The sequence below is a fragment of the Homo sapiens genome, chromosome 22, assembly GCF_000001405.40.
Source record: "Homo sapiens chromosome 22, GRCh38.p14 Primary Assembly".
Lineage (NCBI taxonomy): Eukaryota > Metazoa > Chordata > Mammalia > Primates > Hominidae > Homo > Homo sapiens.
The window spans coordinates 36,359,678-36,382,554 of NC_000022.11; the positions used below are offsets into that span (position 1 = coordinate 36,359,678).

The 22,877-nt window shown below is 50.3% G+C and overlaps 1 protein-coding gene across 1 annotated transcript in view, besides 7 other annotated features; it reads right to left on the minus strand.

Annotated features, from left to right (window-relative positions):
* Positions 1 to 22,877, minus strand: part of MYH9 (myosin heavy chain 9) — a 106,688-nt gene that overhangs the window by 78,398 nt on the left and 5,413 nt on the right. The gene's annotated exons all lie outside the window — the stretch shown is intronic.
* Positions 3,022 to 3,962: an enhancer, noted in NCBI's record as "H3K27ac-H3K4me1 hESC enhancer chr22:36758744-36759684 (GRCh37/hg19 assembly coordinates)". NCBI's record gives its function as "activates a minimal SCP1, AML or CMV promoter by ChIP-STARR-seq in primed H9 embryonic stem cells {active_cell/tissue: H9 hESC(primed)}" and the evidence as "EXISTENCE:reporter gene assay evidence [ECO:0000049][PMID:30033119]".
* Positions 5,408 to 5,497: an enhancer, noted in NCBI's record as "active region_18927". NCBI's record gives its function as "activates an Ori minimal core promoter by ATAC-STARR-seq in GM12878 lymphoblastoid cells {active_cell/tissue: GM12878}" and the evidence as "EXISTENCE:reporter gene assay evidence [ECO:0000049][PMID:35858748]".
* Positions 5,508 to 5,607: an enhancer, noted in NCBI's record as "active region_18928". NCBI's record gives its function as "activates an Ori minimal core promoter by ATAC-STARR-seq in GM12878 lymphoblastoid cells {active_cell/tissue: GM12878}" and the evidence as "EXISTENCE:reporter gene assay evidence [ECO:0000049][PMID:35858748]".
* Positions 8,987 to 9,281: a silencer, noted in NCBI's record as "tiled region #8689; K562 Repressive non-DNase unmatched - State 5:Enh". NCBI's record gives its function as "represses a minimal TATA promoter and a strong SV40 promoter by Sharpr-MPRA in K562 cells {active_cell/tissue: K562}" and the evidence as "EXISTENCE:reporter gene assay evidence [ECO:0000049][PMID:27701403]".
* Positions 9,594 to 9,683: an enhancer, noted in NCBI's record as "active region_18929". NCBI's record gives its function as "activates an Ori minimal core promoter by ATAC-STARR-seq in GM12878 lymphoblastoid cells {active_cell/tissue: GM12878}" and the evidence as "EXISTENCE:reporter gene assay evidence [ECO:0000049][PMID:35858748]".
* Positions 17,728 to 17,807: an enhancer, noted in NCBI's record as "active region_18930". NCBI's record gives its function as "activates an Ori minimal core promoter by ATAC-STARR-seq in GM12878 lymphoblastoid cells {active_cell/tissue: GM12878}" and the evidence as "EXISTENCE:reporter gene assay evidence [ECO:0000049][PMID:35858748]".
* Positions 20,174 to 20,323: an enhancer, noted in NCBI's record as "active region_18931". NCBI's record gives its function as "activates an Ori minimal core promoter by ATAC-STARR-seq in GM12878 lymphoblastoid cells {active_cell/tissue: GM12878}" and the evidence as "EXISTENCE:reporter gene assay evidence [ECO:0000049][PMID:35858748]".

The window sequence follows — 22,877 nt, forward strand, 5'->3', positions numbered from 1 at the left end:
ACCAGTCCGACATACCAGAAAGAATCTTGGCTGGCATGGCCTCTGCTCTTGCTAGGATGCCATGAGAAGGTCGTGTGCCCTCCTGGAATGCTACGCCTCCATCTATCAAGTAGGTGCTGGCAACATCAACCTTTGGTATCAACTCAGAAGTGACAGACAGAAGTGGAAAAACCACAGCCATGTGAGGTCCTGGTTCTGCAAACCCTAAGATAAATGCTTGTAATGTACCACAATGGAGTTTATGGCTTTGGGGCCAGACAGACCTGGATTGGAGTCCCAGGTCCCCTGCTCACAATTCCTGTGACCTTGAAGCTGTTAGCACCCCAATTTCCTAGCTTTAGAATGAGGACAAACACCACCACCACCACCACCACCACCACCACCACCACCACCACCACCTAACATCAGAAGAGTTGTAGCTCAAGCTCCCAGTGGAGAATGGCATGATAGGAATTTCCCTCCCAACTCCTCTATCTTGTGATTCTGAGCTATTTAATCCCCATTCTTCCTAGGAATGACACCTGGGCCCTCTGAAAATCAGTTACCAGGAGTCTAGTGACTCTTTCTGCAGGTTATATCCATCCATAGAGGACAGTTCTCAGGGACAGTGACTATAAAGACAGCAATTTGCAGAGGGAAGAGGGTTTCGTGGCCGAGTAAGGATGGAATGCCGTCTCCCTATGGCCCTCTTGCAATCACAATATGCACAAAATGTTGTAGGAAGCAGCCTGCAAAAAGAAATCTGCTTAACTTAGGCCGGGCACAGTGGCTCACACCTGTAATCCCAGCACTTTGAGAGGCCGAGGCGGGCGGATCACGAGGTCAGGAGATCGAGACCATCCTGGCTAACACGGTGAAACCCCGTCTCTACTAAAAATACAAAAAATTAGCCGGGCATGGTGGCGGGCACCTGTAGTCCCAGCTACTCTGGAGGCTGAGGCAGGAGAATGGCGTGAACCTGGGAGGGGGAGCTTGCAGTGAGCCGAGATCGCACCACTGCACTCTAGCCTGGGCAACAGTGTGAGACTCCATCTCAAAAAAAAAAAAAAGAAAGAAAAAGAAAAAAGAAATCTGCTTAACTCCATCCCAGGAATATCCTGCAGGAAAAACCTCTCTCCATGCTGGTCTGGGAAATGCTGGTCTGGTGAGATGGGCACAAAGCCTGTGGCAGAAGAGCTGGATTTGAGTCCAGCGAGGTGCTGACCAGCTGTGCAATCCTGCAGGCACCACCCAGGCCTCGGCTTTCCCACCTGCAAAATGTCCTATCTGCTCACAGGTATGCACAAGGCCACTCTCTGCAATACACACCAGGGCTGTCAGAGCAGTTATCTACAGGGTGGGTCAATAAAGTGGCTCCTCTGTCACCCAGGGCTAATAACCTACAGCAGCCTCGACCTAGGCCCTCACTCTCCCCAGGCTAACAAGGAGTGGGGGGCTCCTCCCAGCTGCCAGTGCCCAGGAGGTAGGAGCTGAAGACTGCGGGTGGGCCCCCCTTCCCTTTCCACCTCAGGAATGTTGTTTGCTTACAGAAGAAGCTGGAACTTGTTTCCATTAGCAGTATTCCAACCCAAGCCTGTGTTGATGCTTAGCAGATAAGAAAACCAGAGAGGAACTTAGTGCCCGGGCCCCAGAGCCTGCCCCATCTGCAGGTTCTGCCTTTGCCTCCTTGAAGCGGGCATGGAGGGGGGCTCAGGTGACTGCTGAAAGTCCAGGAAACAATGAAAGATGATGGCATTTGCCTGTCCAAGGGAGGGCCTGTGGTCACTTTCACTTTGCCTGGCACCGAAGGAAACTCAGGCTATCAAAAACAACACCAGTACGTATTTCAAATCATGTTGTACACAATGGATATAAACAATTTTTGTCAACTTAAAAATTAAATGAACAATTTCTTTTAAAAAAAAAATGACACCAGAAACCAGAATGTGGTACATAGAGTCCCTCCTCCTGCATGGGAAGGGGTGGGGGCAATAGCTTGGGACAGGCTGGAGGAGATAAACTGGGGCAGCTAACCCAGGATCTTATCAGCCATTTAGGAATGTGGACTTTATTCTAGGGATAATTGGGGAGGAGCAGAGGTGACATCAGATTTGTATTTTAAAGTAATTGGCTGGGGGTGTACGGTGGCTCACGCCTGTAATCCCAACACTTTGGGAGGACAAGGCAGGTAGATCACGAGGTCAGGAGTTCAAGACCAGCCTGGCCAACATGGTGAAACCCCATCTCTACTAAAAATACAAAAATTAGCCAGGCGTGATGGTGTGCGCCTGTAATCCCAGCTACCCGGGAGGCTGAGGCCAAGAATTGCTTGAACCCAGGAGGCAGAGGTTGCAGTGAGCCGAAATTGCGCCACTGTACTCCAGCCTGGGGGACAGAGCGAGACTCTGCCTCAAAAATAAAAAAAACAGAAATCATCCTCCCTTACCTGCATGGAGGGGGCAATGAGAAGTCAGTGGTTGGAAAATACTGGGGACTTGCAAGGAGGGAGCTTCCAATCTAAGAGAAGAAAAGACAGTTCCCTGACCAGGCTAGGTGGAGAGTGATTAAATGACACGAGAGGGACAAGTGCAGCCATAGACTTTACCCTCTGATCTCCTACTCCATAGAGCCTGGCTCGAGGAGAGTCCTGGAATCACCGTCCTACGACAGTGAGAAGTGACCAAGCAATCCCAGGAGCTCCAGGGCCAGTGTTTCCAGAGCATCTTAGGCACAGATCTCATGTGGCATGTGTCACACAGACTACACAATAAAGTGTCCAATGGGGTGTCCTCCACTAAGATACCAACTTCAGGACCACAGAGACATGGCTTTAGATCCTCAGCACAGAAACCATTTCTGAGTCGCTCTGTTGCCCGGGCTGGAGTGCAGTGGCACAATCTTGGCTCACTGCAACCTCTGCCTCCTGGATTCAAGTGATTATCCCGCCTCAGCTGGGACTACAGGTGCATGCCAGCACGCTCGGCTAATTTTTGTATTTTAGTAGAGATGGGGTTTCACCATGTTGGCCAGGATCGTCTTGAACTCCTGACCTCAAGTGATCCACCTGCCTCAGCCTTCCAAAGCGCTGGGATTACAGGCATGAGCCACTACACCCGGCCTGAAACCATTTCTTAATGAATAAATCAAACAACCAATGAGCCAGGGCAGAAAGCAGCAAAAGTTTGAGGCCAGCCCTGCCATCACCCCAGAATGATAGCCCGCCCAGCATGGATAGAAGTGTGCCCCCTACAGCCTTTATAACCCCACCCCAATGCCTTCCACCAGTGCCTCTCAACCATCTTTCCAGCCACACCTCTCTTATCCCCTGCTACAACCCTCCATTCCAGTCACTAGAGCACACTCCCCAGAGCAGCCTTTGCTTCAGCTGTCACCCAGAGACAAGCTGGAGGGCCCATCTCCCCAATTCTCCACAGACTGAGAGTCCCCAAAACCAAGTGGACATGCCATCGCCCCCAGGCAGCCTCTCCTAGTATGAATTACTCATAGTATGAATTACCCTAGTATGAATTACTCACCCTTCTCCCTCCTCCCCAACAGGCCCAGCGCAATCTGCCTTATACAGAACCATGGCTTCATTGCCTGTGTCCTCTGCTGTCTCTTAGAACTCTCTAGAGGCAGGAACTGTCTCCCCAACCCTCTTGCTCTTGCCCAGGGTGCTGCAGAGAGAGCATCAATGCTTGTTGAAAATAACTGAATTGTTGAAAATGCTTGCAAGTATTTTCTGGGAACCTGGCAGTCCAAGAGAATGACCACTCCAAGGGTAGCTGGAGGGAGAGACAGAGGGAGGCAGGAAGGAGGGAAGGAAGGAAGGAGAGGAGGAAACAATAGGTTAAGCAGCTTTTGCCCCATGTTAAGAGGCCAGGCAGACAGACCTAGGGCTGGATCTGCAGATAAGTCATCTACACTGGACCCTTGGCTTTGCTTTTAATTGGTTCAATATTTGCACAGTGACATCACACCTGCGCCTTACCTACTCAATAACAAGCTTTCTCTCAGTCACCCAGAAGAAACTGCAAAGAAAAGCAAATTGTTTCAGGTATGGTGGGGACGTCCCCTCCTAAATAGTGAGGGGCAGATGATCCCCTTTGACTCACCCCCAGGTTGGAAGCGGCTGACAGGGGAAGGGTTTGGTTGGGTTCACCAAGCGCACCAAGCATGTCCCCCTGCAGATGGTATCTCCCCAGCTGGCTGGAGGCTTCCCACACCCCCAGGAGGGGGAACTTGAACCCTTCAGATTCCTGCAGCAAAGTTATTCCTTCCCTTAGCTTCTGCTGATAGAATGGTTTTTCTTTCCTCAAGCATGTGAGCACAGTTTGCTGAAACCCAATGCAGAAAAATAACCATACTCAGAAGATGTAATTATACGGCCACCGTCTCAGTGGGAAAGTGCAGCATGAGGGCTTTCTGAGTCCACATCACGACTGCTGAGAAGTGCAACCAGAGACCAGAAACAGAAGATCACTTTTGAAGGTTGCTCAGCCTAGAACCCTTCAAGCCTTCAGCAGCTTGTTATCCTCTGAGTGATTATTTAAATCACACAAAAAAAGCGAATGAATGAGAAGCCACTTTCCCCCAGTAGCCATCTCACCTCTAGTCCTGCAGGGCTGAGGGCTCCAAGGCAGAGATCGGGTCACCACTGCATCCCCAGTGCCCCACATATGGGAGGTGCTGAACTAAAGTCATGGGAGAGGCTCCCATCTTCCCAAAGGTCCAGACTCCAGGGACCAACTCCAGTCAAATCTGCGTCACCCACTCTTAAGTGCCTGATGTTAAGCCCAATCATCTTCTATCTTATTGTCCAAATAAGTCCACATGACTATGGTGTGGCTCATGTCTCCCCTTAGCAGGACAGACAGCAAGGGCCACCCACAATGGGCCATAGCTTCTCTGTGGCCATCCAGGGTCCTCACCCTCCGCCCCACCCCCTGCCTCACTGATAACTATATCTGCCGTACACTAATTTTTATTTTGTTTCCAAGAGGCACATCACTGGCCAGGGGTCAGCAACAATCTCCCTGCATTGATCAAGCGGTCATTACAGTGGACTCTGATCATGGGCTTCAAAAGGAGAGGGACCTGCTCATGGTGATTTTTCACTTACAGCCTTCACAGAAGGCATCTGAGGACGAGCCGCAGCCAGGAGGTAGACAGGCTGCCTGTGGAATGCCAGAGCCACCACTTAACTAACAGCAAACTTTGCAGCTTGACTTGGGCCCCAAGCCTCAGTTTCTCCACCTGTAAAATGGAGCTGATCCCAGCTACCCCCATGGACAGCTACAAGGAGCCCCAGTGGGTCTAGCTGACAGCCCCCACCCCCACCCCCACCAGCCCCTACTTCTGCATTGGATCGGAGTATCGTCTAACTCACAGTGCCACTGTGATGACAAAATAAGCTCCCAGAGCTGGGCTCGGGGCAGCCCCGAACACCAGCCCCTCCCCCATGATCTTTGCCTCCTCTCAAGACAGCCTGTGTCACCACTGAGCTCATAATGAGTCAGTCACAGACGCTGCCCTCACACAGCCCACTTCGAGGGTTTGAAGTCACATCCTGCCTAACCCAACTCGACATGATTTATTCCACCCCAGGAAGGTAGCTCATTTCCCAGAATTTTGTTAAGCCCTTTAGTAAAGGAGTCTGATCTGGCAAGGGGCTCCCTTTACAGCCCTGGCTGAACATGCAGCTCAGCTCGGGCCTGGAGGCAGGAACCACCCTAAGTCAGGGCTGCCAGAGGCGCCAGGGCATCTCATCCTTGGGGCCCCAACATTTATCTTAAGCTGTAATTTTTATTTTTTTATTTTATTTTTTTTTGAGACAGAGTCTCACCGTCGCCCAGGCTGGAGTGCAGTGGCACAATCTTGGCTCGCTGCAACCTCCTGGGTTCAAGCAATTCTCCTGCCTCAGCCTCCCAAGTAGCTGGCATTACAGGCATGCACCACCGTACCCAGCTAAATTTTGTATTTTTAGCAGAGACGGAGTTTCACCATGTTGACCAGGCTAGTCTCAAACCCCTGACCTCAAGTGATTTGCCCACCTCAGCCTTCCAAAGTGCTGGGATTACAGGCATGAGCCACCGCACCCGGCCTTTTTTTAAATTTTAATTTAAAAACTTTTTGTCATAAATACAAACATGTCTAACAAAACTGTCACAATGTGACATACACATGCTATTCACTCTGATTCTTTTCCATTCAAGTCTATTTTATTTCATTTCTAAACACACTGGTTGCCCGCCAGGCATGGTGGCTCACGCCTATAATCCAGGCGCTTTGGGAGGCTGAGGCGGACAGATCACCTGAGGTCAGGAGTTCAAGACAGCCTGGCCAACATGGCAAAACCCCGTTTCTACTAAAAATACAAAAATTAGCCAGGCACGGTGGTGGGCACCTGCAATCCCAGCTATTCGGGAGGCTGAGGCAAAAGAATCACTTGAACCTGGGAGGCAGAATTTGCAGTGAGCCAAGATCCTGCCACTGCACTCCAGCCTGGGTGACAGAGCGAGACTCCATCTCAAAAATAAATAAATAAATAAACAAACAAACTGGTTGCCACTCACTTCACGACCCACCGATGAATCTCACTTGAAAGTTCTTGAAAAACACCACCGTGACTTATCTACGCTAGGAAGGAGAGGAACGATCTGCCTAAGATCACATAGCCAGGCCAAGCAGAAACTCAAGTCCAAAGCCAAAGGGAAACTCAGTGAGAGGTGGGGGGTCGGGGGGAGTGTCCCACTCCAGGCAAGTGAGACTCAGCTGTAGCAACCCAATCACCTGACACATTCATCTCGTGGTGTTTACATCATCTGATCCCGCCAGCCTTGGCAAAGTGAAGGGTCACGCGGCCCCTCCCCCTAAAAAAGGAGAGAGCCTCAGAGGCTCAGGGAGGCTAAGTGACTTGCCTAGGTACAGGGTTTCCCGGGAACATCCCTGCCGATGTGCAGGGGCAAGAGCACAAGAACGAAAGAGGAGCCCACCTTCCTCAGCATCCAAGGTAACAAGAGATCAAGTCTGGCATCAGAAACATCACCCCTCCCATCTCCAGGCCCAGCCCCACACTGAAGAGATACCCAGAAGTGACGGTGTTCTAAAGGCTTAAATACAAGAAGGATCATCAGGGAGGGGAAGGCCACTGTGCTGGAGCTACAGTGATGAGCCCCAGGAAAGTGATCACCCCTGGGGTGGCACAACTTAGACTAGAACAAACCCCCATCCTGATCCTAACGGCCCCCAGGCTGCATCCGTTATGCGACACTCACGTGTGCACACTCTACAAATGGAAAACCCAAAGCTTCTATTTGTCTAGGTCAGTGGTCAAGGACCCCTTTGAGAACTTGTGAGAGGTGGTGAACGCCTTGCATACCACGTTAGGGGGCTCGCAGAGACTCTGCAGTGCGGTCCATGGACTTTTAGGAGTCCCCTGGTCACAAGCTCAAAGGTAATGGGGCACTAGTGCGGCCTCCTTTTCTACCAAGGCAACATGAACAAAGACTTGAGGCAGGATCTCTTCCTTCGTCACCCTCCGGAGGGTTAAGCAGGATCTCGCTGAGGAAGCAAAGCTGTGGACAGAATAACCCAATAGCAAGAGTCCACGTGGCACGGGAGGGAGGCCGATTCTCCTGCACTGCTCTGGGGTGCCCTGGACTCCAGGAACAAGAAGCCCAAAACTGAAGGGTGAACGGTCTCTCCTCCCGACATTTCCATCCCTTGCTCCGGTTCTCAAATGAGCAAGCACACAGCCAGCCCTGGACATATAGAAGGCATGGCAGGCAATGCCAAGCTTTCCAGAGAAGCATCCCAGAGCCTCCTGCATTCCCCGGGGGAAATGATCAAATACAAGTGAGGATGAAATCCACTTATTTTGCACTTTACAGAAAAATTAACTTACCGCTCCTAGACTGGGTTGCGGCAGCACCCTTGTCTGAAAGGCTGGCCAACCCCAGTGTCCTTGAGCAGGCAGCCTGGCCGGCAGGATGACCTTACCAAGTCCTTCCCCAGAAACGTGACTACCGCTTACTTTACCACTCACCAAGCAGCACTCCTTTGCCCAGGCCACAGTCTGGTTTGAAAGTGGCCAAAGCTGTGGCTGCACATGAAAGAAGGAAGCAGCAGCGGCCCCTGCTCTAGAGAGCTGCCAGATTTGGGCCAATGCCATCCTGCCCTGGACAGAGCCCCAGGCCCCCTCCTCCCCTCCCCAGTCCAAGATGGGTGCATACAGACTTGCACACACACAGATATGCATGCACACAGACACGTGCAAAGATCTGTGCACACAGAGGTGCAGAGACATGCACACAGAGACCTGTGCAAACAGACATGCACATATACAAACACACACACACACATGCCTGCATACAGACACCCCAGAGGATGCTGGGATATGGCCGAAGTCAGGCCAACCTGGAGGTAAGCGCTGGATTCTCCTCACTGGTTCAGGAAATCCGGCAAATTATTTAAATGTCCTGAACCTCCCTTTCTTCATCTGTACAATGGGAATGAAAAGGCCCACCTCCCAGGACCCTGTTGGTAATTAAATAACGGCCACTTGCACTTTATTCTGAGTGCTTTTCACCAGGAATCTCACTTTAGCACACAGCACTCTTGTGAGGTAGATTCTAGTGGTATCCCGTTTTGCAGATGGGGAAACAAGGCCAGAAGGCTTACTTGCTGAAGGACACACAGGCACTAGCTGCCGGTGTCTGTACCCTGCAGGTCTCACTTGGGGCTCCAGGTCTTCCATCCCTAACCACTCTGCTCCACTGCCTCTAGGGGTGCAATGAGACAGCGAATGCACACAGAGCATCTGGCAAGGCGTCACATAGGACCTGGTCAACAGCAGTTGCTCCGTGATCAGGAAGGAGAAGCGCAGAGGTGGACCCGCAAGCTTTCCAGTAGCCCAGGGCCAAAGCACCAGTATCTGTCCTCCTGTCTGCTACCAATCCCCTCCAGCAGACTCACTTTTAACCCAATTTCTCTAAGATAACAGTGCTGGGAGGTGGAGGAGTGTTATCTCCCCACCCTTACCCCTCCCAGCTGTCTATATCGCCCTAAACAGCCAGGAATTTAATAAGCCTGGAGTTGTCTCTGACTCCCAACCACAACCAATTCGGAATGCCCCAGGTCCTGCAGCACAACAAAGGCTGCCCTGCAAAGCCCGGAAGAGCCTGCGAAGCCTGCCCCGTCCGCGATAGAGCATCACATTCTTCAGATTCTTGTGTAAAAGCCAGAAGTAAGGCAAGGGGGTGGGGGTGGGGGGGCTCTAATTTCAACCTAAGGGTCATTAAAGCCTGTGACCTGTATTAAAAGGGAAGAGACCCACCCCTCTGCAGCCCCTCTGTACCACGCTGGTCCTCCAAGGTGTATGATACTGCACAGGTCAGCACACCCAGGCCTCACAACCAGAAAGCGCCCTCAGCCTAGCGTCCCCACTTTGAGGACATCAAGCCTCCAGGACACACAGCTAGTCAATGGCAGGAGGGATTTTGCCAGACTGATCTTCAGCATCGTACTGGTGGCCACTATCTATTTCTTTCTGTCTAACATAGGTTTAAAGTTCTAGCCAGAGAGTCCACAGAACTAACCCCAGGTAGAGTTCAGGGGAAGACGTTGAGGTGCTGATGGAGACTCGTGAATTCCACAGTGCTCGGCAGCAAGTAATTAATCTCATGATGAGGCGTTTTTCATGAGCATTTGGCATTATATACCCACCTCCCCCTCGCCCTGGCAAAGGCAGGAAACAGTGGGCGGCAGGCCGGCTCTGGGCAGAAGGCGGGCTGAGAACAGCATGCTGGTGGGCTAGGAAGGTACGAGGGGGCGGTATCCATTCTTCAGAGGGAGGACAGCAAAAACCCAGGTTCCCCACAAGGACCAGGCTAACCAGACCTCACACCAGCCTGCCAGCCTTCACCTGCTGTCTACCCGACAGGTCTCTTAGGATGGAACAGGGAGGGCTGTAATTTACAGCTGGTGCCATAAAGCCAACTAGGTAACGCGACCCAGCAACCACCACTGTGAGGCTATGTGTGGAAGTCTACAAAAACCCAATTTCACAACTATTGTCCACATAGTGGTTGAAGTGGGATGAGAAGGCAGGAGAGGCGATGGAAGTAGATATGGAAAATAACTGGCCTGAAAATGAGGAGCTGGGAGAGGATTTTAGATCATTCACTTGCTACCTGGGGCTAGTCACGTAGGTTTTCTTGGACTCTCAACATTCCCAGCTACAAAATAGGAACACTAATACTGCCACCTTCATGGGATTGAGAGACTTTTGTTGCAATAACTTGAAAGTGACTTTAACCTTTGTAACGTGATATAAAAAATAGACTGAAATTTTTAAACAGATAAAAATATATCACCTGGCACTGTGCCAGATAAATTGTGGACAGATAAAACATATAAACAATAAAGCTATACTTTATTAGCATCAAAACCCTCTGTGGCATTTATTTTCCTCATTCCACAGATAAGGAAAACTGAGGCACAAAGAAAGATTGTATGACTCACTCAAGGTCAAAGGGCCTGCAGGTGGGAGAACCAAGATTAGGGCAGATGGTCTGAGTCCAGAGTGCCTGCCTATTTACCTAAGCACCAGACACACGCCCATCATGCTGGTGAGGCTCAGAAGCCAAAGAAATAAAGCCATCTACCCAGGACATCAGGGTCTGTGCCACCCACATTCTAGTATGAATATCCTCACCTGTTTCTCAAGCATGTATCAAGTGCTCACCATGGGCAAGGCACCATGCAAGGGTCCTGGCGACAAGGCCTCTAAAAGGGGAAGCAAGACCAGCACATAAGCCAGCACAGAGAATTGCTAAGACATGAAGCAGTCCGCTGGGAACAGTGGCATAAGCGAAGCATTTGGCAACGCACGCTCGAACCGCAGCCATCCAACACTCGGGCCAGTACCTGGGAGTTTAGGTTATAGTCCTGCACCAGCTTTCTACAACAGTTCCTCCTTACCGGTGTCAAAAGTGCTTATGACTTAACAGAGGGGAGGAGCCACCTCCAAGAACAATTGGCTCACAGGCACTGGGCAGAAGGCAGGGCAGCCTGGGAGCTGGGAGCAGCCAGGGCAGCCCCCACCCAGTTCTCAAGTGTTTTGATCAGAAGTAGAAGCCCGGAGCAGAGAGCAAAGTGGGACAAAAGGAAAAAGCGCTGGTGAACCAGGGGTGGGCAGTGGGGGGTGGGAAGAAGGGCAGGAGGGGCATTGATACTTATCGGGAGTCCATCATGAACTAGACACTGCTGAGAGCATTTCATACTTTAGCTACCCAGAGAACACTAACAGATAGTTCTATGAACCAGAATTTACAGATACAGAAACTGGAGCTCAAAGCAATTAAACAACCGGTAGAGCACCGTCCTGGAGGGCTCCTCCCCCAGATCTGAAGGCATCCACAGAATGTCCCTGGATCAGAGAACCCTCTGCTGACACAAACACACTCCCCTACTCCCTTCTTCCCTGTTACAGATTGAATTGTGTCCCTCCCAAAAATATCCATTATGTTGGAGCCCTAACTCCCAGTACCGCAGAATGTGACTGGTATTTGAGGACAGGGCCTTGGAAGAGGTAATTAAGTTAAAATGAGGTCCTTCGGGTAGGCCCTAATCCCATGGCTGGTGTCCTTATAAGACGAGGAAGAGACACCAGGCGTGTGCGTGCACAGAGCGAAGACCATGTGAGGACACAGTTGGCAGACGGCCATCTATGAGCCAAGGAGAGAGGGCTCAAAGGAAACCAAGCCTGTCCACACCTTGATCTTGCATTTCCAGCCTCCAGAACTGAGGGGATAAATGTCTGCTGCTTAACCACACAATCTTGTACTTCATCATAGCAGCCTGAGCAATTTTTTTTTATTCGTATTTTTATTTTGAGAAAGGGTTTCACTCTTGTTGCCCAGGCTGGAGTGCAATGGCGCCATCTCGGCTCACTGCAACCTCTGCCTCCCAGGTTCATGCGATTCTTCCTGCCTCAGCCTCCCAAGTAGCTGGGATTACAGGTGCCCACCACCATGCCTGGCTAATTTTTGTATTTTTAGTAGAGACGGTTTCACCATGTTGGCCTGGCTGGTCTCGAACTCCTGACCTCAGGTGATCCGCCCGCCTCGGCCTCCCAAAGTGCTGGGATTACAGGCGTAAGCCACCACACCCAGCTGCCTGAGCAATTTAGTACCTCTCAACATACCCCCTCATCTGCTTGGGCTCTCTACAGCTCTTACTGTCTTGACTTTCCTAGTAAGTATGTTTGATTATTGTTTGTTTCCGCCACTAGAGAGTAAACTGCAGGGACTTCAGTTGCCTTAATCAATGATGTGTCCCCAGAACCTAGAACAGTCTCTAGCAACTGATATGTATTTAATGAACAAATAAATTGAATGAAAATGAAATGTAAACCCAGCAGCTGCTTCTGAAGTCACCCACTCCCTGCCCCACACCCCACTTCCTGTTGCTTTCTCTATTCCTTGTATCCACCTCTCCTTCCTCCAATATAACAGCTACTAAATAATTTTAAATAGTATAAATTCAGACCACGTGCAGTGGCTCACATCTGTAATCCCAGCACTTTTGAAGGTCAAGGCAGGAGGATCACTTGAACCCAGGTGTTCAAGACCAGCCTGGGTAACATAGCAAGATCCCATCTCTACCAAAACATTTTAAAATCAGCCAGGTGTGGTGGTGTGCACCTGTAGTCACAGCTACTTGGGAGGCTGAGGTGGGAGGATCACTTGAGCCCAGGAGGTTGAGGCTGCAATAAGCTATGATTGTGCCACTGCACTCCAGCCTGGGCAAAAGAAAGAGTGAGACCCTGTCTCTCAAAAAAAAAAAAAAAATGACAGGTAATAAAAAAAAAAAGTTAGGTTAAGGTTTAGATTGTGTTTTTGCTGAGTTTGTATTTAATCATGGGAGGTATTAAGGACTGTGACAGAGCTGTCCCAGTGAAACCTCAAACCCGAGAGGCCTGGTGCTGATCCAGGTCCCAAGAGCAGGCTGGAGGGGAGGACGCAAGGAGCTCGGCAAATCTGCAACACACAAGGGCAGCGGTGGCCACTGTGACCACCTGGGCCCCCAGCCCTGTTCGTGCCCTCGGTGGGGTGGGGAGCAACAAGACTTTGGAAACTTTCCCATAAGCAAACGACTTCTCTCCTGCTGTCTAGGAAGACAGCAGAATTCAGGTCAGCGGGACTTGAGTGGGGAGCCGGGGTTGGGGAACAGGGGCCTTGGAGGCCGAAAGAGGCAGCCACAACACCTGGCAGAGGAAGCCTTTCTCTGGAATGAAAGGAAATACGGGAGCAAAGGCAGCCCTTGCATTCCAATTTCTAGCCCCTTGACCACCCATCTTCTCCCCTTAGGCCCACCCCCAAATACTCTCTCTTTACAAACATCTGTCTGCTCAAAAGTAGCCACTAGGATTCTGAAACTTCCTCTTTACAACAAAACTAAACTGTTGCAACTTGTTGCTACCATTCTCACACCATCCTGGAAAAGGCAGGGGCCTCAGCAGAGCCCAAGTCTCCTGCCAATGGCCTTCCGACTTTGGAAGACCACTCCACCCCACTATCCTCCCCCTGCCCCTGCCCTCAGCTGCCCCTGCTCCACTGCCACCCTCGGTAGGGTCTCCCTCAGAAGGGCCGGGGGCTATTTCCCAAGCCTCCCTGTTGTCATGGTCCCTTGGAGACTTCTTCTCTCCCTCACTTCCTCCCAGTGGGTTTTCTGGCCAGGGGCCTTGGAAGTGACACAACGGCGGAGGCGGGGTGAACAGGTTGAAGAGCTTCCTCCAAAAGCCCGGACAGATCTCCCAGCTCCCTTGTTTCTAAGCCTTCTCACCACTACTGACAAAGTGGTTTTACCTGTTTTCCATCGGCTGGAATTGACTGGAATTGGGCATCCAAGCAGCCCCCACCTCCTCAGCCCCTTCAATCACAACCACACCAGAGTGAAGTGGCATGTTCCTAGGTCTACGCTGCGAGCCCCCTCCAGGACAGGGCCTGGGACCTCTTGTTCATCTGCATCCTGACCAGCGGGCAGTTTCTGGCCTAGATCTAGAATAGATGTACTGGATACATTTGCTGAATGAATTTCCAAGACTCAATAAAACTCGTGGAACTTTCTGGCAACATGAAAAATGGTCCCTCTCCTCAGTGGACATAAGAGGGTCATTAAAATATGAATTCTGGCGACCAATGAAACATAGGAACTTTGCATTATAGTAGTAACTCAGAACACACACAGTCTCCATTCTGCTTACAATTTTGTAAAATACATGTGTATATGGACAGAAAACCCAGAAAAATGCAAAACGGTGGATGAGGTGCAGGGCAAATCTGCTTCTTGCCAGCTTTGTTGCAATAATGCTTGTGCAATAAACACCACACACACCCCCACCTTATTTTTTTTTTTTTTACTTTAAAAACAGAAGAACTGGCTGGGCGCGGTGGCTCACACCTGTAATTCTAGCACTTTGGGAGGTCGAGGCAAGTGGATCACCTGAAATCAGGAGTTCAAGACCAGCCCAGCCAACATGGCAAAACCCCATCTCTACTAAAAATACAAAAATTAGCCAGGTATGGTAGCTCAAGCATGTAATCCCAGCACTTTGGGAGGCCAAGGTGGGCGGATCACCTGAGGTCAGGAGTTTTTGAGACCAGCCTGGCCAACATGACAAAACCCCATCTCTACTAAAAATACAAAAATTAGCCGGGCATGGCGGCACGCGCCTGTAATCCCGGCTACTCGGGAGGCTGAGGCAGGAGGATTGCTTGAACCTGGGAGGCGGAGGTTGCAGTGAGCCAAGATTGTGACAGTACACTCCAGCCTGGGCGACAGAGTGAGACTCTGTTTCAAATAATAATAATAAATAAAAACAGAACTGATTCTAATAACAATTACGTCTCTCTCAATATTCCATGAAAAATCTCATCCCAAGTCCTTTGGCTAGAAAAACATGCTGGCCACACAACCAGAGGGCGCAGGCCGCGTTCCCAGCATCCACCCCCAAGGTGAGTGACCTGGGAGTGGAATCCTGCACTCCCACATTTCCTGGGAAATGGGGCAAGGAAACAAGCCTTCACGGGCCGTCTTGGCCTATGCAGAGGCTGGGTCGTGGCCTAAGGAGGAGAGGAAACGTTTCACCAGCCCCAGGTGACTCACAGGGCCTTCACCAACCTGAATCACCCCTGAACAAAGCTCTGCCTGCGTCTGGGCAACTGAACGAGGTCCCACCCCTGCTCCCTGGACTTGCCACACCATGTCTCTACTTTACAATCTCGAAGGCTGCCTCCTCCAGGAAGCCTTCTCAGACTCCCCCCTGCCTTCTCCCTGGGTTTCCAGCATCGGTATCTGGTGGGAGACCATCAGCTCCCAGAAACAAGGGCCTATGTTTCTTTTCCCTCCATATTCCTAGCACCCAGCCAGTGCCTTATACCTAGAATCAGTTCCTCCTAGTAGGAGTCACTGCTGAATGACTATGAATCTGATGGGTGGACAGATGAAGGACGAAAGGAACCCAATGGTTTCAAGATGGCTGATGTCAAGAGCTCACTAGGCAACATGATGGCAGGTTGCCTGGCTAGCTGGTTCCCCAGAGGGCACTACTCAGACAGGCACAGCAGTGCCTGGATTCACGCTGGGGCCAGGGTCTTTCCACCTGCTCTCCCTTAGGACCAACCACATTCATTTGAAAAATGGCCAGTGGGGTTAAAGGTGAAGTCAGTAGCCAAGGCATCAATGCTGACCTGGCAACCCCGCTGTGGGTTGCCAACTGCTGTACGGGAGATCCCATTCTGCTGCAGCCCAACGTTCTCTCTGCCCATTGAATGAATGCTCAGCCACTGGTGAGGGTGGAGGCCTCAAGGACCAGCCCAACCACTCACCGCCAAGTGAGGAAACACAAGTCCTGGAGTGCAGGGCGTCTCCAAGGCCACAGAGTCAGGAGCTGGAGCACCCAAGTTTGAATCCCTGCACAGTCTCCCCATCTGCAAAATGAGGATAAGTTCCTACCTTATGGAAACCAGGGAAGAATTAAATGAGATAATCCATGTAAAAGCCCTAGCATGGCCAGGTGTAGGTGCAGTGGTGGCTCACGCCTATAATCCCGGCACATTGAGAGGCCAAGGTGGGAGGATCACCTGAGGCCAGAAGCTTGAGACCAACCTGGACAACACAGTGAGAGCCCATTTCCATTTTTTTAAATGTAAGTTAAAATTTTTTAAATAAAAGATAATAATTTTTTAAAAGCATCAGCATGGTACCTAGTACATACAAGTGCTCAATAATTTCTTTTTTTTTTTTTTTTTTTTTTTGAGATGGAGTTTTGCTCCTATTGACCAGGCTAGAGTGCAGTGATGAAATCTCAGCTCACTGCAACCTCCGCCTCCCAGGTTCAAGCAATTCTCCTGCCTCAGCCACTCCAGTAGCAGGGATTACTGGCATGCACCACCACACCCGGCTAATTTTGTATTTTTAGTAGAGACGTGGTTTCACTGTGTTGGCCAGGCTGGTCTCGAACTCCTGACCTCAGGTGATCCACCCACCTCAGCCTCCCAAAATGCTGGGATTACAGGCGTGAGCCACCGTGTCCGGCCAGTAAACTTTAATAATTATAATTAATAACGAGACTGTGATGGGACCCAGAGAGCAGCTCTTCCTCCCTTCCATGCCCACCTTCCCATCCTCCCTCCTCCTCCCAGGCAATCCTAGCCTCCAGGAACCTAGCTCAAGATGCTCAGATGTCTCCTGACTCAGGGTAGCATGGGCTTGCCTCAGTATCCCAACTCCCTGTTGGAGGATAAGGCTGCTTGGTGACAGGGACAGGCTGTCAGCCCTCCATCGCTGCTGAGCCCCACCAAGCCAGCACAGTGCAGACCACATAGCTGGAGCTTAGGGAGTCTCTGCGGACTGACTTGGCAAAGGGCAACTCCCTTATACCCAATACTTGGTTCTTAAATATAAAAAATAAAAACTTGAAAATGCCCCCCTACCACCACCTTTCTCCTCCCAGGGATTCCCCGATCAGTGTTCTGTAAAATGAAGAGGTCACTAACCGGCATTCAAAAGCTTTTGGCTATCTAGGCCTCCCTGTCGCAGGCTTAGAACTGAAGACACTGGCTGGGCGCAGTGGCTCATGCCTGTAATCCCAGCACTTTGGGAGGCCGAGGCAGGTGATCACCTGAGGTCTAGAGTTTGAGACCAGCCTAGCCAGCATGGTGAAACCCTGTCTCTACTAAAAATACAAAAATTAGCTGGGTGTGGTGGTGCACACCTGTAATCCCAGCTACTTGGGAGGATGAGGCAGGTGAATCGCTTGAACCCGGGAGGTGGAGGTTGCAGTGAGCCAAGATCGTGCAACTGTACTCTAGCCTAGGCGACAAAGCGAGACCCTACCTCAAAAAAAAAAAAAGTGAAGACACCAATGAGACCTGAACCCCATTTGTGCAATAAGGACTAGGAGCTGACTCTGTCCCAAACACGGAGTTACAGCATAGGGACAGAAATGAAAGAAGACCCCGCCTTTGACCTCCTCACCCGCAGAGGACAGCGAGTTCTCAAATCTTCTCCCCGATTCTGGCCCAGTTAGATTAAGTCACCCAGACTGTCCCAAATGCCTCGTTCTTATGTTTATCTGACAGGAAGCTGCCTTCTCTAGCTCAGTGACTTAATGTGAAACACAGGAAACGTAGTGGCTTTTGAACATAGACAACTCTAAATAAAGGTGCCTCTATCGCTTTGTAACAGCCTTTCTAAAAAAAAAAATACTTAAACCAGCTCAGATCAGTGTAATGAGATGAATTGAACTGTATGGGAAAAGGATGCAAAAGTTGCAGGCATCAGAAACCTCAGCATCAATGCCGGGGGCGAGTTCCAGCAGGTTCCTCAGTCATCTTAATCACCGCACCTTGTTATCAAGGGACAGGCTTGTTGGATAAATACGAAATCTCTAAAACTTGAACCTGGCCGGGTGCGGTGGCTCACGCCTGTAATCTCAGCACTTTGGGAGGCCAAGGCGGGCGGATCATGAGGTCAGGAGATGGAGACCATCCTGGCTAACACGGTGAAACCCCGTCTCTACCAAAAATACAAAAAAATTAGCCGGGCACGGTGGCGGGCACCTTGTAGTCTCAGCTACTCGGGAGGCTGAGGCAGAAGAATGGCGTGAACCCGAGAGGCGGAGCTTGCAATGAGCCGAGATGGTGCCACTGCAGTCCAGCCTGGACGACAGAGCAAGACTCCGTCTCAAAAAAACAAAAAAAAACTTGAACGTGTATTTCCTACCACCTGAGGAGAGATGATGTTATTGTTACTATGAAGAAAAGGAGAAGCTGGACGAGGTGGCTCACACCTGTAATCCTAGCACTTTGGGAGGCCAAGGCAGGTAGATTGCTTGAGCTCAGGAGTTTGAGACAAGCCTGGGCAACATGGCAAAACCCTGTCTCTACAAAAAAAAAAAAAAATTAGCCAGGCCTGGTGGTGCACACCTGTGATCCCAGCTACTTAGGAGGCTGAGGTGGGAAGAATGCTTGAGACGGAGGCCGAGGCTGTAGTGAGTTGCTATCGCGCCACCACATTCCAGCCTGGGCAACAGAGCAAGACGCTGTCTCATAAAAAAAGAAGAGAGATGAAGGGGAGGAAGAGGAGGAACAGACCACTTCACATCCATTTATAATGCTAAGAAAGAGGCTTCTCCACGGTGCAGATGGGAAAACTAAGGCGAGCAGCAGGAGAAAAGGCGGGGGGTCTGCTCCTAGCTCTGCCTGATCCCAAAACTTTATTTTGTTCCTTCTCCCGTGCATTTTGTGTTGAAAATATAACAAATTATCACCGGAGACATTAAGTGACCTAAAGTTACTAGAAATCAGGGCTGGCTGAGGACAGTGGGCAGCAGTGTGGCTTTCTGAATGGCCCACCCTGCTGCCTGGCACCACCCCATGTGAAATATTGATTTTTCGAGCTGTGGGAACTTTCAGCCCAAGTGGTCACGTCCAGCTGGAAGAAGTTCAGAGAAACCCAAAACACTTCCCACCCCATTCCTTAACCCTAGTGCCCCCCAACAAAAAACAACAAAAAAGACGAAGGGAGTAGAAGAATAGACTCTTAAGGAAAGATTAAAGGAGCTCAGTATGTGTTGCTTGGCTAAACAGGGCATAAACATCAAAAAAAAAGAGAGTCACCATTTAGAAAACACGCTTAAATGAAGCCTCCTGATTTGGAAAGGCACTGGGTATGAGCGAAACCAGGGGCCAAGGTTTTCTACCGACTCACAGAATGAGCTTAAGCAAATCGCTTTTTCTCTAATTAGGAAAAAAAAAAAGAAATGTTATTTTAATTATTCCCAACATCTCTTCCAGCCAGGCATTCTATAATTCTAAATCCAGTAGGGAGGGTTTTCATTGTTGTTGCTGATTTTTCTTTTAAGCAGGGGATGATTTCAAATTAGAGTTAAAATGCAAGAAGAAAGGCTCTTCTTTCTAAGGCCCACGTCCTTTTGGTGAGTGGCAACCTACTCAGAGATTAGCTTCGAGCTCCCCCAACACATTAAAAATTGTACAGAGAGGCCAGGCGTGGTGGCTCACGCCTGTAATCCCAGCACTTCGGGAGGCCGAGGCGGGTGGATCATGAGGTCAGGAGATGGAGACCATCCTGGCTAACACGGTGAAACCCCGTCTCTACTGAAAATACAAAAAAAATTAGCCGGGCGTGGTGGCGGGTGCCTGTAGTCCCAGCTACTTGGGAGGCTGAGGCAGGAGAATGGCGTGAACCCGGGAGGTGGAGCGTGCAGTGAGCTGAGATCGCGCCACTGCACTCCAGCCTGGGTGACAGAGCGAGACTCCGTCTCAGAAAAATAAAAAGTTGTACAGAAAGACATCATCTTGGCCTAAGAAGGCAAGAGAGGGACCTCCCTGAGAAGCCCCTTTTCTCCTCTGGGACATACCATAAGGATGGTAAGGGCCTCTGAGAAGTACCAAGGAAGTGACTCGAGGGTGGGGAAGATCAGCTACCTGTAACCCCACTACAGGCCTTAGCCCAACCTGCACGGCAGGAAGCCACACCCTTCCGGAAGGCCCTGCAAAGGCTCCTTCCAGCCACAGCAGGAGGGTCCTGGGCTAGAGATGCAGACAGCCACTGAGGGACTCCCAGCTGCTCCAGCGCTTGGCGGGCTAGCTAAGGGCCTTCTCTGGGGACACCTGCCCGGGTGCTGAATCATCTCAGGCTCGAGAAGCTAATCGTGGGAATGGGAACCTGAGTAATTCCAACAGAAGCCTAGGTTACTTTTTAAAGAGACATGCATCAGAGTGGGCAGCTCCCCTCCTGCCTCCCAAATATTTGGTGCCATCTAAGCACAAGGGACAGGGAGCTGGGTACAGATACAGGCCGCCCGCCCATGCAGTGGCGGTCCCATTTTAGAGCCAGTCTCATAGTGTGTGCTCATGTGTGACTCACACCATTCCCCCAGGAGGCCCGGAGGCTGCCTTGCAGGACCTCAGGACCCTGATGGGGTCTTCCAGACTTCACTCAGGAAAGGAGTCAATCGGGCACAACAGCAGCGCCGGCAGCTCCTCCCAGGGCCCACACCATCCAAGGCGAAAGACAGCCATCCTTGAGAAGGGGGGTAGGGCCCTCCCATTCAAAACACCCCTCTGATCACATCTTCTCAAGAATTTGGGCTTTTCCAGTGTTGTTATACATAAAAACCACAGGCCAGATGTCTTAGGGGAAACTGGGGACAGAGTGGGAAGGGGCATAATAGTGGATGCAATGACCCCAAGTTAAAAAAGAAGGCCAGGTGGCCGGGTGCGGTGGCTCACGCCTGTAATCCCACCACTTCGGGAGGCCAAGCCAGGTGGATCACCTGAGGTCAGGAGTTCGAGACCAGCCTGGCCAACATGGTGAAACCCTGCCTCTACTAAAAATACAAAAATTAGCCAGGCGTGGTGACAGGTGCCTATAATCCCAGCTACTCGGGAGGCTGAGGCAGGAGAATCGCTTGAACCTGGGAGGTGGAGGTTGCAGTGAGCTAAGATCACGCCACTGCACTCCAGCCTGGGCAACAGAGTGAGACTCTGTCTCCAAAAAAAGAAAAGAAAAGAAAAGAAAAGAAAGAAAGCCAGGTATGTGAGGGCCTGGGTTGGGCTTCAGGTTGGGGTGGGCTCCCCAGGACAGGACAGCTTATGATTTGGAGCCAAGCGAATTATGGAAACCTTGCAAGAGGGTATCCCAAAACGCTTTCCAGACACACATGCAGGCTTTCTCTTCTCATACAGCAAAGAAAAATCAATCATCTACCATTTCCCAGAATATGAGGAAGTAGATCAGAAAGGACTTCTGTTTAAGGGGTTACTCTAGTGATGTGACATCATGGGAAGAAAACAGGACCCAAAGGTTTCAAGCACAAAGACCCTTCCCTCTTACCTTGTAAAAGGTAGGCATTCAATATGCAATATGGAACCTAAAGCAATGCACTTTAAAGTTGAGACCTACAGATTAGCCAGCTGGACCCCTTATTTTTATAGTTAAGAAAAATAAGAAATAGCTGAATTTTTTATTCTTTAGGGACAATATGGCCGGGCACACTGGCTCATGCCTGTAATCCCAGCACTTTGGGAAGAAGAAGCAGGTGGATCACTTGAAGTCAGGAGATGGGGACCAACCTGGGCAACATGGTGAAACCCCGTCTCTACTAAAAATACAAAAAAATTAGCTGGGCATAGTGGCGCACACCTGTAATCCCAGCTACTCAGGAGGCTGAGGCAGGAGAATCACATGAACCCAGGAGGTGGAGGTTGCAGTGAGCCGAGATCGATCATGCCACTCCAGCCTGGGCAACAGAGCGAGACTCCATCTCAAAAAAAAAAAAAAAAGTATTGAGTGAAATGTACTGCTCACTCCCTGCTCCTGTTGCCTAGACCCTAGGCAACCACCATTACCAGGGTCTCAGTATCTTTCCAGAAATACTGCATGCACAGAGCAGAGTTTACATACCATGTTTTACACAAAACGAAGCACCATTTACACTACTTTGCGTCTGGTGTTTTTCACTTACAACATAGCTTGGAGAGCACACCCTATCAGTACATATGGATTGACCTCATTTTTCAAAGGGATGCAAGGACTTCCACTGTACAGCTGTACCATGATTTAGTTGACCTTTTTAATAGCACAACTTGTTTCCTGTCATCTTCTATGTCAATGCCGCAATGAAGATTCTCAGACATTTCCTTCAGCACATCTGAGTTTATCTGTGAGATGAATTCCTAGAATATAGTCGGAAGGAGTATGCTTTGACAGATACTGCCAAACAACTTTCTTTTGTTGTTGTTGTTGTTGTTTAATGTAACCCAGAGACAGACTCTCCCTGTGTTGCCCAGGCTGATCTCGAACTCCTGGGCTCAAGCAATCCTCCCCCATTGGCCTCCCAAAGTGCTGGGATTACAGATGTGAGCCACCATGCCCAGCCCCAAACGACCTTCTAAAAAGAGGGTTGTACAATATACACTCCCATCAATAAGGTACCAGAGTGCTGGCCAGGTGCGGTGGCTCACGCCTGTAATCCCAGCACTCTGGGAGGCCAAGGCGGGCGGATCACCTGAGGTCAGCAGTTCGAGACCAGCCTGGCCAACATGGTGAAACCCCATTTCTATTAAAAATGCAAAAATTAGCTGGGCGTGGTGGCAGGCGCCTGTAATCCCAGCTACTTGGGAAGCTGAGGCAGGAGAATCGCTTGAACCCAGGAGGCGGAGGTTGCAGTGAGCCGAGATCACACCACTGCACTCCAGCCTGGGCAACAGAGCGAGACTCAGTCTCAAAAAACAAAAAAAAGAGTGCCTAGGAAATTAAAATTACTTGATTTTGCTGGGTGTGGTGGCTCATGCCTATAATCCCAG